The 15,392-nt window shown below is 39.8% G+C and overlaps 1 protein-coding gene across 1 annotated transcript, besides 1 other annotated feature; it reads right to left on the reverse strand.

The window, feature by feature from the left end:
* Positions 5,075 to 5,264: an enhancer, noted in NCBI's record as "active region_15968". NCBI's record gives its function as "activates an Ori minimal core promoter by ATAC-STARR-seq in GM12878 lymphoblastoid cells {active_cell/tissue: GM12878}" and the evidence as "EXISTENCE:reporter gene assay evidence [ECO:0000049][PMID:35858748]".
* GKN2 (gastrokine 2) lies at positions 6,570 to 14,231 on the reverse strand. Its single transcript, NM_182536.3, has 6 exons — positions 14,188 to 14,231; positions 12,040 to 12,093; positions 11,464 to 11,601; positions 8,485 to 8,595; positions 7,642 to 7,798; positions 6,570 to 6,788 (listed from the first exon to the last, which is right to left on the reverse strand). The coding sequence occupies exons 1-6, from the start codon at positions 14,197 to 14,199 to the stop codon at positions 6,706 to 6,708; spliced, it is 555 nt and encodes a 184-aa protein (NP_872342.2). The 5' UTR covers positions 14,200 to 14,231; the 3' UTR covers positions 6,570 to 6,705.
* Positions 14,232 to 15,392: the final 1,161 nt, after the last annotated feature.

Below are 15,392 nucleotides of genomic sequence, written 5' to 3' on the forward strand. Positions count from 1 at the left end.
TCCTTTTACGAAACAATCAGAGGAACCCCAAAACTTTCCTGGCCAGTTTTCAACTGTATTTGAGTTTCCAAAGTGACAATTGATAAGGAGAATTGGAAAAACCTATTTGTTGTTGCATTTAAAAAAAAAAATCAGTGTTTATTTTATGTGCAGGGAGTATACATGCGGGTTTCTTACATGGGAATATTGTGTGATGTTGATGTTAAGTATACACATCCCATCACCCAGGTACTGAGCATAGTACCAGATAGGTAATTTTACAACCTGAATCTTCCTCTCTCCCTCCTTCCTCTAATAGTCTGCAGTGTCTATTGTTCCCATGTTTATGTCCACGTGTACTCAATGTTTAGCTCCCCCTTATAAGTGAGAACACATAGTATCTGGTTTTCTCTTCCTGCATTAATTTGCTTAGGATTATGGCCTCCAACTTCATCCATGCTGCTGCAAAAGACATGATTTCATTCCTTTTCATGGCTGTGTAGTATTCCGTAGTATATATGTACCACATTTTCTTTATCCAATCTACCATTGATGGGCAGCTGGGTTGATTTTTGTCTTTATTATTGTATATAATGCAGCAACGAACATATGAGTGCATGTGTCTTTTTGGTAGAATGATTTATTTTCCATTGAGTATATACTCAGTAATGAAATTGCTGGGTCAAATGGTATCTGTGTTTTAAGTTCTTTGAGAAATCTCCAGACTGATTTCCAGGGGCTGAACTAATTTACATTCCCACCAACAGTGTATAAGTGTTCCTCTTTCTCCACAGCCTTACCAACACCTGTGGATTTTTTAACTTTTTGATAATAGCCATTCTGACTGGTGTGAGATGGTATCTCTTAGTGATTTTATTGGTATTTCTCTGATTATTAGTGATGCTAATTTTTCATATGTTTGTTGGCCACTTTTAAGAAGTATCAGTTAATCTCTTTTGCCTATTTTTTAAAGTGTTATTTGTTTGTCACTTGTTGATTTGTTTAAGGTCTCTATAGATTCTGGACGGATACTTTGCCTTCGTCAGATCCGTAGTTTGAGAATATCTTCTCTTATTCTGTAGGTTGTCTGTTTACTGTGTTAATAGTTTCATTTGCTGCACAGGAACTCTTTAATTAGATCCCACTTCTTTACCAAGGCTAATGTTGCCAAGGTTAATGTTGTATTTCCTAGGTTATCTTCTAGGATTTTTATAGTTTGAGGTCTTTGAGGTCTTTGATCCATTTTGAGTTAATTTTTGTATACGGTGAGAGGTAGGTTCCAGCTTCAATCTTCTGCATATGCCTAGCCAGTTATCCCAGCACCATTTATTGAATAGGGAATCCTTACCCCATTGCTTGTTTTTGTCAGCCTTGTTGGAGATCAGATGGTTGTAGGTGTGTGGCTTAATTTCTGAGTTCTGTAACCTGTTCCATTAGTCTATGTGTCTGTTTTTGTACCAGTACCCTGCCGTTTTGGTTACTGTAGCTTTGTAGTGTAGTTTGAAGTCTGGTAGTGTGATGTCTTCAGCTTTGTTTTTTGTTTGTTCATTTGTTTTGTTTTGTTTGCTTAGGATTGCTTTGGCTGTTTGGGCTCTTTTTTGTTCCATATGAATTTTAGAATAGTTTTTTTCTAATTCTGTGAAGAATGACATTGGCAGTTTTAAAAGAATAGCATTGAATCTGTATATTGCTTTGGGCAGTATGGCCATTTTAACAATATTAATTTTTCCAATCCATGGTCATGGATTTTTTTCCATTTGTTTGTGTCACCTGTGATTTCTTTAAGCTTTGTAAAGATCTTTCACCTCATTAGTGAAAGCTGTATTCCTAGATATATCATTTTCTTTGTGGCTATTTAAGTGAGTTTGTGTTCTTGATTTTACTCTCAGCCTGGACACTGTTGGTATATAGAAATGCTACTACTTTTTGTACATTGATTTTGTATCCTGAAACTTTACTAAAATGATTCATCAGTTTTAGGAGTCTTTTGACAGAGTCTTTAGGGTTTTCTTGGTATACAAATATATCATCAGCAAAGAGAGATAGTTCGACTTCTTTTCCTATTTGGATGCTTTTTATTTCTTTCTCTTGCCTAATTTCTCTGACTAGTACTTACAGTACTACCTTGAATAGGAGTGGTGAGAGTAGGTATCCTTGCCTTCTTCCTGTTCTTAAGAGGAATGGCTAAAGCTTTTGCCCATTCAGTATGATGTTGGATGTGGATTTGTCATAGATGTTTCTTATTATTTTGAGGTATGTTCGTTTGATAGATGTTGAATTTTTATTGATAGCTTTTTCTGCCTCTATTGAGATGACTATGTAGGTTTTGCTTTCAATTCTGTTTATGTGGCGAATCATATTTATTGATTTGCCTATGTTGAACCAGGCTTGCATTCCTGGAATGATGCCTACTTGATCATGATATATTAACTTTTTGATATGCTGCTGGATTTGGTTTGTTAATATTTTGTTGAGAATTTTCACATCTATTCAATCTTGGGAGATTTTTTGCTTTCAGGAATTTATCCATTTCCTCTATATTTTCTAATTTGTGTACGTTCATAGCAGTCTCTGAGGACAAGTATTTCTGTGGATCAATTGTAACATCACCTTTGTCATTTCTGATTGTGTTTATTTGGATCTTTCTTTTTTGTTCATCTAGCTAGGTGGGTCTATCAATTTTATTTATTCTTTCAAAGAAACAACTATTGGTTTCATTTGATCTTTTGTATGGATTTTGCATCTCAATTTCATTCCATTCTTCTCTAACTTTAGTGACTTCTTTTATTCTGCTAGCTTTGGGGTTGGTTTGTTCTTTTCTGTCTAGTTCTTTTAGATGCAAAGTTAGACTGCTAATTTGAGATCTTCCTAACTTCTTGATTAAGGCATTTAGTGCTATAAACTTTCCTCTTAACACTGCTTTAGCTGTACCCCAGAGATTTTGGTAAGGTATGTCTCTATTTTTAGTAATTTCAAATAATTTTTTATTTCTTCCTGAATTTTGATGTTCACACAAGAGTTATTCAGGAGTAAGTTGTTTAATTTTCATGTATTTATGTATGAGATCTTCTTGATATTGATTTATTTTTAATTACATTGTGGTCTGATATTAAGGTTCGTATGATTTCAATTTTTTTTAATTTATTGAGACTTGCTTTCTTACCTAGCATGTGATTGATCTTGGAATGTGTTCCATGTGCAGATAAGAAGAATGTATATTCTGTCTTTGTTGGGTGAAGTTTTCTGTGGATATCTATTAGGTCCAATTGGTCAAGTAACAAGTTTAAGTCCAGAGTTCTTTTATTAGTTTTCTGTCTCAATGATCTGTAAGTAGGATGTGAAAGTCTCCCACTATTATTGTGTGGCTGTCTAAGTCTTCTTGTAGATCGAGAAGTACTTGTTTTATAAATCTGGGTGCTCCAATGTTGGGTGTGTATATATTTAGAATAGTTAAAACTTCTTGTTGGATTGTACCCTTTGTCATTATGTCCTTTTTTCCAATAAGCCTTCTGTGGTCCAGGAAATACCCTTCTTTGTCTTTCTTAATTATTAAGGGTTTAAAGTCTGTTTTGTCTGATATAAAACTAGTGACTCCTGCTCTTTTTTGTTTTCTGATTTTGCATGATAAATCTTTCTCCAAGTCTTTGAGTCTGTGGGTGTCATTACACATAACATAGAGCTCTTGAAAATAGTGGATGATTGGATCTTGTCTTTTTATCAAGCTTGACACTCTATGTCTTTTAAGTGGGGCATTTAGCCCCTTTACACTCGGGGTTAGTATTGATGTGTGAGATGTTGATCCTGTCATTGTGTTGTTATGTAGACTTACTGTGTAATTGCCTATAGTGTCGTTGGGCTGTGTGCTTAAGTGAGTGTTTGTGGTAGCAGGTGTTATTCTTTTGAGTCCATATTCAGCACTCCCTTAGGACCTCTTGTTAGGCTGGTCTAGTTGAATTCCTTCAGCATTTGCTTGTCTGAGAAGGTTTTTATTTCTCCTTCACTTAGGAAGCTTAGTTTGGCAGTGTATGAGACTCTTGGTTGGAATTTTTTTTCTTTAAGGATGACAAAAATAGACCCCTCTCCCTCCATCTCTTCTGGCTTGTCAGGTTTCTGCTGAGAGGTCCACTGCCAGCCTAATGAGAGTCCTTCTGCATGTGACTTGACCCTTCTCCCTAGCTGTCTTTAAGATTTTTTTCTTTTGCATTGACCATGGTGAATCTGATGACTATGTGCCTTGGGGATGGTCATCTTGTATATTATCTGGCCAAGGTCTTCTGTATTTCTTGAATTTACATGTCAACCTCTCTAGAGAGATTAGGGAAATTTTTGTGGGCTATGTCCCCAAATATATTTTCCAAGTTGCTTATTCTCTCTCCTTCTCTCTCAGGGATGGCAATGAGTCATAGATTTTGTCTCTTTACATAATCTCATATTTCTGGGAGATTGTGTTCATTTCTTAAAACTCTTTTTTCTTTATTTTTGTCTAAGTTGATTCAAAGAACCAGGGGTCAAGCTCTGAGATTCTTTCCTCAGCTTGGCCTATTCTGCTATTAATACTTCTGATTGTATTATGAAATTCTTTTTTGAACTCAATAAGCTCAGTTTGGGTCTTTTGTAAAATTGCTATTTTATCTTTCAGCTCTTAAACCATTTCACTGGATTGCTTGGTTTCCTTGGATTGCATTTCAACTTTCTCCTGGATATCTATAAGCTTCATTGCCATTCAGATTCTGAATTCCATGCTCATCATTTCAGATTGGTTAAGAACAATTGCTGTGGAGCTAGTGGGCTCATTTGGAGGTAAGGGGACGCTCTGGTTTTTTAAATTGCTACAGTTCTTGCACTGATTCTTTCTCATCTGGGAGGGTTGGCGTTCCTTTAACTCTGGTGTAAACTGAATATAGTCAGTTGGCTTCATTTCTGGAAGTTTTCAGAGGGCAAAGGCTCTAAACAGTCTGTTGAATTCCAGTCCTCGGCCTGGCAGGCAGGAAAATTAGCAGTTTTTCGTGTTGTAGTTTGGGATGAAATCCAGTAGATGGCGCGTGAGAGCAATGGGAGATAGCTAGACTAATATTCTGCCACCCGGCTCCTTTGTGTATCCGGGCCTTTGAAGCCGTGCTCTGTGGTGCAAGGGGGAGAGGGGTGACCCCTCACCAGGTCTCCTCCTCGGTCTTGAGGGGAGGGACCCCTGATCACTGGCACTGTGGCCGTGACTTTCTGTTGTTGTTAGGTGTTCCAGGTCGTTGGGCTCCTTCAGGCAGAGGTCCAGCAGGGAGACAGGCCCCACACTTACTGGACCAGCTCTGTGGAGGGAGGCACGCCTAGGTTCCACACCAGCCCAGGAACCTGTGCGACTCACCCCTCTCTGAGAGTTTTCTGAGAGTATGGGCTCCTCTTCTGCTGAAGCACTGGGCCCAGTTCCGCACTCCGGAGCCACAGCCCTGGGACGTCCGGATCTGCTCACAGCTCCCTCCCCTGGACCCTTGGGGTTGGGATCTGTGTGCACTGGGGGATTCAAACAGCTCCCACGCTGCCGGAATGCACTCAAGTGGAGCAAAGCACCCATGCTGAGCAGCTGAGGCTGCACTGTGTACACACTCCTGTGGGGTGGCCAGGCAGGAATCCTGGGAGGGACTGGCAGGCAGGTGGGCCTGCGGGACAGATGTGCCCTAATCCCACGGGGAAGCACTTCTTCTCCCATTCTGGTGGTTATATGGGGCCAGAGCCTCTCAGAGGGAGACAGAGAGCCCTGGGGGATGAGTGCTCCCGCGGAGCTGTCTCACAGACAAAGCTTCCAGCTCCGTGCCTGCTGGAGCCCTTTCTCCATCTAATCTCTAGTGAGAGTCTCATGTCAGCTCAAACGCGGAGGCCGGGGGTCCTCTGCAGCTAGGATCCCAGAGGTCTACGGCAAGAGAATAAATTGTTATTAAAGTAATTCCTCTTTGCTCTGAATTTGCATTCAGCCGAACGTTCACGTGTGACCCAGCTTCACGATCTGAGATTTGTACACAATGTGCAATTTATTTGAAATATTGGAAGTTGCTTTTCTGCTATGTATTGACTTGGCATTTCTAGTCTTTCACTCCTGTTATGATCTTCAGTATGGTGCATCTTTTCCTGGACGTTAGGTGCTCCTTCCTCTCTCCCTTTCTCCCTTCTCACTCCAGGGCAACACATATTATTATAAAGTTTATTCAGGTTGAGTCTACTGCTTTGGTGAGTTAAAGGACATTTTAACTCATATGAATGGCCCTAAAAGCCTTCACCTGAGCATTCAACTTGTTTGATAAGCATACGCTATGTCCCTCCCCTGGCCAGGTCAAGGCCACCACCGTGTGAGCCTCTTCTCTACCCAGGTTGCTCCCATATATTTGGATGGTTAGATGGGAAGCTGGTCCAGAGGGCAGACGAAGAAATGGAAATTCGACCCCAGCTGACTAGTCCACATGTGACCCAGTGGTATTATCTGGGAATTTTCACACATTATGCACCTTATTTAAAATTCTGGCAATTTTTTTTCTTCTATATAGTGACAAAGACATTGCTTGGATTCCCTTTGCTGCTTACAAAAAACAACAAACACCAAAAAATCTATAAATACAGCATTTATATTTTCTGACTGAATCTCAAAATTAGTTGGGGCATTGGGAAAGAATTTAATTTGACTTTTGAGTGTAAACCAAGGATGTATTTCTTTGAAAAGATAAAACAAGAGGGCTAATCATCCTAAACATGAATGTCTGCACAGATTGAAATTCCCAAGATGCCCAGGAGCCCAGCCTTTGCACAGCCTCCAGCACCGACATTATCTGGAAAAGGGAAAATTTTTCAGAGAAAGAGCATTAAAAAATATATTATTGGAATTATTAGAATAATAATACATTAGCTTAAATAAAACTGACAACTTTTGGAAGTGCTGGTTGGCTCAATCCCAGTGATATTATGCCATTCTGTGTCAATGGCATACCTATGTGCCTTTATTTACTTTATGAATGAGTACTTAAAATTTTTTTCTGGGCAGTAGATATATAATAAACATAAACTCTTCTTTATCTACCTTCCAGTACTCTGAGAAATTTCCTTTGTTGTGTTCATCATCAGTTGGCCCGACCTCTTTCACTCTGGTTGCTCTGCCACATTTAGAAACTTTGTATAAAAATGACAGTAATATCTGCAGTGGCATATGTTACCCAGATGAATCAGGGTTTTTACTCCCTGTCTGTAAGTCCGCTTGGCCTCCTCTTTCCTATACCAATTCTATTCTAGATCCTGAGAGCATTTCTTAGTGACTTCCTTCTTATTATCTTCAAAATATGCTATTCTAAGGGCCCAGATGACTTTTTGCTACTTGAAATTCTTACATATGAAAGTATACAAGAATCGAGTAGTTTTTCATTGGCATCCAGAAATCCTTTACTCCATCCTCTCTTTTCACTTGTCAGCTTCTTCACTAGACTATGTGTTCCCTGGAGACGTTTAATTCATTTCTGTATTCCTAAAATTTAGCACAATTTACACACATGGCATGTAATTAATTCCCAAAGCAAACTGAACTGAGTACTGTTCCCATTTATTTGCATTTCACTTGGCACCCAACAGAGCACCTGGCACATAGTAGCTTTCAGAAAATATTTGGTGAGTGAATGACTTATTGGTACTCACGTGTGTTTTCAACCACTTCCCCCTTATACAAAGGGATATGTTTGCAGAGTTTCTCAATGGGTGACCCAAGCAGGAACCAATCCACGTCTTTGATCAGAGACTCCAGAGGGTTGTACTTGACCCAGGTGTATTTGCTGGAGAACATGTTGTCCAGAGCCTAGATCGGTATAACAGAAAAGAACAACATAAAATAAATTGACAAAAATTGGTGTACCTTATTCTAAATTGTGACAATTTTTCTCTTTCAGATTATTAAATAGAAAGAACTTAGGGATCTCAAGACATCATCTCTTTTTGAACACTCTATCTGTGAAGTAGCCTCATTAGTAATTACCAGTGTTATTTTACCTCTGGTGGCAATGAAGCCCAAAGAAAGTAAGTCCCATGTCAAAGGTAGCACCTATAAGAAGTTGTGGAGGGAGACTTAAACCTTGGGTCTCTAGCCGCAGTGCACTGTTTGTATATGTTCACTCAACTGTATTATTTCTTTGCATCTTTGGGTCATTGAATATTAGAACTTCTCTTATTATTGTTCCAGTCACCATTTCTCATAGCCCTGCTCTGAGAAGAGAAGCTGATCAGTCCTTGCTATAATGTCACTGGAATTTATTATAAATTCTTGTATTTAGGACTATATGGTGGAAATCAAGCTAAGATTTGCTCCTGCTCTTAAAAAATAATAAAATAAAAGTAAAAACACTTTAATAACTTTAATAAGTTGAGTATCACATTTATGGTAAGGCATGATAGTATGATCTTCTCCCTCACACTCTTCATTTCTCCATAAATACCAGTATTGCCTGGCTTAAGAACAGAGAATACTCAAGAGTGCCCCAGAATTACCTGTTTCTCATAGATGTACCATTGGAGATTGTTCAGAGGAGGGATGTTCTGATGGTCCATCTTCAGGATAAAGCAGGCTCTTCGGGAGAGCACCCTGGATGCAATGTAGCCCTGAGGCAGCAAGAGTACAGTTACTGTTCCTCCCTAGTTCCCTGAATCTGAACTTGGTGAAGATGATGCCTGAACCTCGGAAGAAAGACTTGAACATGCACAGTGAATATATGGTGGGATTGCTCTCCAATCTGCAATCAACTTTATCCACTTGACTTATTTTACATAACATTTTCATTTTTTCACTTGTCATTTCTACCCCTTTGAAATTGTGCAAACCCATGACTATATTCTGCTTTTCATGTCATGGAACCAGGGTCTGCAGTTTGAGGTTTGAAAGATTGAGAAGAAGCACTACTCTGTCTCTTTCCATTATTTTATTATTATTATTACCATTATTATTATTTTTTTGAGACAGACTCTCACTCTGTTGCCCAGGCTGGAGTGCAGTGGTGCAACCTCAGCTCACTGAAGCCTCCACCTCCCTGGTTCAAGCAACTCTCTTGCCTCAGCTTCCAGAGTAGCTGGGACTACAGGTGTGCACCACCATGAACAGCTAATTTTTTATGTTTAGTAGAGATGGAGTTTCACCATATTAGCCAGGCTGGTCTCAAACTCCTGATCTCAAGTGATCCACCCACCTTGAGCTCCCAAAGTGCTGAGATTAGAGGTGTAAGCTACTGCATCTGGCTTCTTTCCATTAATTTTATTCTGCTTCCTCCCCAGTTTGGGGTAAATAGAATATTTTTTAGAACTGTGCTGTCCTGGCCAGGTGCAGTGGCTCACACCTGTAATCCCAGCACTTTGGGAGGCCGAGAAGGGCAGATCACAAGGTCAGGAGATCGAGACCATCCTGGCTAACATGGTGAAACCCCGTCTCTACTAAAAATACAAAAAATTTAGCCGGGCGTGGTGGCGGGCACCTGTAGTCCCAGCTACTCGGGAGGCTGAGGCAGGAGAATGGCATGAACCCGGGAGGTGGAGCTTGCAGTGAGCCAAGATCACACCACTGGACTCCAGCCTGGGTGACAGAGCGAGACTCCGTCAAAAAAAAAAAACAAAAAAAAAAAACTGTGCTGTCCAATATGATAGTTATTAGCTATATGCCACTATCTAAATTTAAATTCAAATTAGGTAAAATTTAAAATGCACTTCTGTTACAAATTTTGAGTACTCAATAACCACAGGCGGCTGGGGGCTTCCCTATTGGAAATTCAAATCTAGAACACTTCCACCGCTGCAGAAAGTTCTGTTAGACAGTGCTGCTTTAGGAGCTCTCATAAGCATACCCATACCCACACTCATGCACGCTCACACACGTCTCATCTATCCTCCCCTCATTTGCCATCTTTTCTTCCTCTCCAGTTTTCCCCATCCCTTCTCCATCTCAAACCCAAGCTGGCTGGAGAGGGATGGGTTGCAATAAGGTGGGATTGAAAGAGCAATGGAGGGTGAAGACCCTGGGGCCAGATGGGACCTAAGGCCACTGAGTCTTCACCTGGAGTGAAAATTGTCTCTACAGAGTTCCAAATAATGATATACCCTAGAAAGCTGTATCTAATAGAAATCTTTCTGGTTCTTATTTTTCAATTCTCACAAATTGTCAGTTCCTAAAATTCAAAAAATAGACAGAGGCTGAGCCTGGTGATAATGGAAGAAGCTTAAAGCAAATCCTCACTTCTCCATTTTTTTTTAAAGACAGTTTTGGGATTTCCATGACAGTTGCTTAAAAACAATTTCAGTGCCACTTCCTTTTAAACCACATTTTCTAATGACTCTATACTTTCAAATGTGTGATTGAACTGCCAACACCAATGGGAAAGAGGAACGTGAAGACATTTCTAGAAGAAAAGGGACAGAAAATCATGTTCAAAAGTCTAGTGAGATGAGCAGGAACCTACTTATATCCATAGTGCATAGCTTGGAACCTAGGTAGAAGCAGGTTCATAATTCGTTGGTGGAAGAAATGGAAAACAAATGAATAAATAACTGATGAAGGATATGTTTTCTGAGCAGGTTTCTGTGACTTATTGTTAATGCCAGTATCTAACACTTGAAAATAGTTTAGTGCTTTTAGTTAGCAGATTTTCTTTCTTACAGAAAAAGTATGATTTTTTGCCTACCCTATGTACATAATTAAATGTGTATAGTTGCTCTGGATTTCTGCTATGTTGTGATTGCTTTGTGATTGTTCTTTTTATTATTTTATATTTTTTAATTATTTATTTATTTATTTTTTTGAGACAGGATCTCGTTTTGTCACCCAGGCTGGAGTGCAGTGGTGCAGTCTCAGCTCACTGCAGCCTTGACTTCCTGGGCTCCAGCAATCCTCCCACCTCAGCCTCCCAAGTAGGTGGGACCACAGGCCCGCACCACCACACCCAGCTAATTTTTGTATTTTTGGTAGAGATGGGATTCTGCCATGTTGCCCAGGCCAGTCTCCAACTCCTGGGCTCAAGAGATCCTCCCGCCTCAGACTCCCAAAGTGCTGGGATTACAGGCATGAGCCACTGTGCCTGACCAATTGTTCTTTTTCTGCATGATGTTCTGTGTTAGAAGCCCTATTCATTCATTTGTTCACTCAACAAATGAGTTTGAGTGTCTGCATGCCGGGCTTTGCTTTGGACTTTGGTTACTCTTCTTTGCACTTTCTGAGCCTGTAGTGGGATAATAGCATTACTCTTCCAATTTCTACCTGAAAAGGTCAAGCAAATGCATATGTTTCCTGTCATATGTTTTTCTTCAAAATGGTTTTGTTTTTTTAACCAATTGCTTGATTATTTAAAGAGAAAAGTGAAAGTGAGGAATTCTTAAAGAATTGCAAGGTTAAGTCTAAGAATTCAAGTATATATGCCCCATATATATATAGATCCCTCTGCTCTTTAGCAAACTAGTCCTGATGAATATGAAAATTCATTTGCTGCTTACATGTTTATAGTCAAAAATTGTGGTAGAAGAGCATGATCCTGCATGGATGTTAATGATGGCGGTATTTTTTTCATTATCAATTGTCACTGTCTCCTGAACATTGCCACCATTGTTGCTTGGGCTGATGATGTTAAAAACCTAGATTGAAAAGAAAGACAAAATGTTTTTCCATAAATCTTATATATTTGAAAGGCAACTCTTCCAACAAAATAAAGCAGCTGCCTGCTATGAACAAGGGATTAAAAACTAAAACTGTCCACTGGGGTCCCAATCCAAAAACTTATGATGCCATAAGAAGGCAAAGCTTTTCCTTAGAGTTTACTATATTATATATGGGAGAAGCAGTGATATCACAAGAGAAATGAGACTGACCACATTTTAAAGCAATGGCTTACATTTGCAAAGGTATTGTGGTTGGAGAGGAATAGCCAAGCTCATTATTTCCATTATTGGTTATTTCTGAGATTCCATCCCAAATAAGGCATATGGCCTCTCTACTGTCTTCAGGCTCTCTTGTACCTTCCCTTTCCTCTCCCAACATCTCTAAGAGATAAAGTCCATAAGGAACCAACTCACCTCGTATCCATGAGATTGTATCCCAAAGATGGTCAGCACCACCAGAAATGCCACCTGAAAAACAGACCCACCACATCCATTCTTTATAGGGTAGTCATTGAGTGTGGGACAGGAGGAAACACTGGACAGGAAAGGCACAGATATCTCAGAAAATGTACACCTAGAGACACTGAGTGGCCACAGATGGTCAGCACTCCCTTTCCACGCACACATTGATTGGCTCACACATTGGCTCATTTAACAGGCATTTGTTGAGTTCATTCTATTTGCCAGACACAGGGTGCTACAATTGCCACCTAATTCCCAACTCTTTCTAGCATTATAACCATGTAGATAGTAGGAGAAACCCGGGGCAGATGAGCAGTGAAGGATTCATTTCACTATGGAAATACTCTGGTATGATTCACACTAGCTTTGGATAACAGTGGTCAAATTGTGTCCTCTAAAAAAATAATTAATTAATTAATTAATTTTAAAAAACTTTAATCCCTTAAGACTGAGAGGGTAATACAGATTTAAAATGAATCATGGGTGATAAAGACCTGACAGGTTCCTAAGGGAAACTATGAAAATAGAATGCTTGGGAGCACAATTAACTTTTGAGGCTGACATCAAGTAAAACCCCCATATTCTCCTATGCCTTAGTGATACTATCACACAAGTGCTGGGCCCACAGGTCGTGAGCTGACATTGAAGCAGTTCTGATATTTTGCTGTAGTTCTGTAAGAGTCTGTTCCAACATGCTAACCCAGGTTTTGTACCCTCTCTTCTGAACATCAGTGAACTGTACTATCGCTGAAAACTACATCAGTACATAGTTGACTGCACTGTCATTTGAAAACTGCTGATGAAAGGAGTCTTGGGGAAGGGGGATATTTTTAAGAACTGTCAGTGGGACTTTCCTACTTCCCTTTCCATCCCACCCTTAATATTTCTCTTCTGGGGACTGGGAGTAGAGCATCTAACAAAGACCTGTGTGCTGATATTCAGCCTTCCATAGGGATACATCTTCTCTTACCACAGACCAGCTCCAGCAACATATGATACTCCCGTATATTCTAGTTAATGAGTCTAAAATAGTGGTTTGAACAAGTAGTCGAAGGACTAAACCACTTTAATGGTATGATTAGAGAGAGCTTGGGGAGTGTCCTCTGCCCCAAAATGATCTCCCTTCCAACACTGTGGTTAATACACCATGGTTATATAATACTTTTGTGCTTCAGGGTTAGGTCTCAATTTGGAAAATCAAGACAGCCCTGAGAGAGGGAGCTCTTTAAGCTGATAGTCTTTAACACTTTAGAAAGAGGTACTTAACATTTTGCTTTCTCCCTTAGCAGCTGAATGAGAATAAAGGACAGAGACTAGGGGAGCGAATTCCATTCTAGGTCAGAACATAGCCCACTGTCCATGGGGCACTGCAATGTGGAACTACGGAGGCTGGGATCAGATGGAGGGGTGGAGTGGCCATAGAAGGAACGTTTTGTCCTAAGGGAGAATTTAGTCATAATGAGAGGACATTGAAGACACTCTGGCTGCTTAAATTTGCCATGATTGCGCCTGCAAGTGGGGATTCAGATGGATAAATTACATTCTAAATCCCACATTTACGGGCTTGGGAAAATCACATTCCTCTGCCTCTCAGTCTCCTTATCTGTAAAACGGGGAGAATACTACTCAACTCATAGGGTTGTTGCAATGAATAGATGAAATTATTCATGTGATATGCTTAGTCTAAGGCTTAGTATGCATTTGAGAAATGAGAGGTACTATTATTACTATTACTGATATTATTTTTAAACTACAGCTTCTCTCTTAGATAGCAAATGTAGTTGTTTTAAATAGCCCAAATTCCCTATGAAGCTCATAATAAAGGATTATTATTAAACATCCTCCAAATCAAAATTATCTAGAGATTTCTTTGTATTTTTGAATTTTCTTTTAAGTAAACATCTCAAAACAGGAAAAGGACAAAAAAAGTCAGACTTATTCAACACTATTTCTGCCAAAGATGTCATTAATTCAATCACAGAAGCTTAGAAGCATGCACAGTATCTGTCTAAGACTCCCAAAATCCATGGCATATTAGATATGAGCATTGTCTGCAAGCAGTCACCACAAGAGTATCAAGAAGCAGAAACAAATACTCACAAGTATTTTCATTTTGCCTGGGAGAGGAAGGTGCTGGAGTAAGTAAAGCTGCCCTGTGCAGCTTCTATCCTTTATATGGGCTTGAAGATGTGGATATCTCTTTTTCAAATGATCACTTTGGAAAAGACCATGTCTATATCTCTGACACACCCTAGCAAACTCCTTTATCAGAATTGAGATCCAACCACATACCTGATATCAATGAAGTTCATTAGTCAGTAATGAAAATTCACCACTTGGTCACTCTGTAAATATTCCCTGCTATTTGTACTATGCTGCACTTGACATTTTAATTTCCACCCTTTAAAAATATTGCATGATGCTTGTTCTATGCATACATTTTATAGCTCTACAAGGACAAACTTCTAACATCTCCTCCTAAAGGAAGAGTGCTTCCTTAAGGCCTGAGTTGGGCCCCAACTCAATGTCTTTTCACCACTGTTCTGCTGGCTGAATTCTTCCACAGAGGGAACGGATATGAGACGGGGTGCCAAGACAGTGGCTGGGGAGGCCTGCTTGGAGAACAAACAGCCTAGGACTTTCTTCGTTCTTCCCTTTAGATTTGGTGTCAATTTCCAGAAATTAATGAGGAACAAGACTCAGAAAGCATTCTCCCCAATTACCAAGTTTAACCAAATTTTTACATTAAGCTTCGCCCAAAACTGCACAAAACTGTAAGTTAGAGACCTCTAGTTATCTTGCAGAGTATTAAGAAATTCTTAGATTGAAAAAAAAAAAAAAGAGAGAGAAAGAGAATAAAGTTTAATTTGTGTAATTTTTTTAACATGACAATTAGAAATGGCTAGTTAGTGTCAGGGTATAATCATGAACTCAGGAAGGGAAATTTAAAAACAAAACAAACAACAACAACAACAAAAACAATAAACTGCGGCTGGGCGCAGTGGCTCATGCCTGTAACCCCGGCAATTTGGGAGGCCAAGGCGGGCAGATCACCTGAGGTCAGAAGTTTGAGACCAGCCTGGACAACATGGTGAAACCCCGTCTCTACTATGGTGAAACCCCGTCTCTACTAAAAGTACAAAAAAATTAGCCAGGCGTGATGGTGCTCGCCTGTAGTCCCAGCTACTCAGGAGGCTGAGGCAGGAGAATTGCTTGAACCCGGGAGGCAGAGGTTGCAGTGAGCCAAGATCATGCCACTGCACTCCAGCCTGGGTGATAGAGCAAGATTCCATCTCAAAACAAAA

This window comes from Homo sapiens, chromosome 2 (genome assembly GCF_000001405.40).
Source record: "Homo sapiens chromosome 2, GRCh38.p14 Primary Assembly".
Lineage (NCBI taxonomy): Eukaryota > Metazoa > Chordata > Mammalia > Primates > Hominidae > Homo > Homo sapiens.

What these genes read in the sequence shown, in the direction of transcription:
- GKN2 (NM_182536.3), bottom strand. An exon ending in CAATTTTTGACTATAAACAT is followed by an intron (nt 8,596 to 11,463) that starts GTAAGCAGCAAA and finishes TTGCTGCCTCAG; the next exon opens with GGCTACATTGCATCCAGGGT. An exon ending in GGTACATCTATGAGAAACAG is followed by an intron (nt 7,799 to 8,484) that starts GTAATTCTGGGG and finishes ATACCGATCTAG; the next exon opens with GCTCTGGACAACATGTTCTC.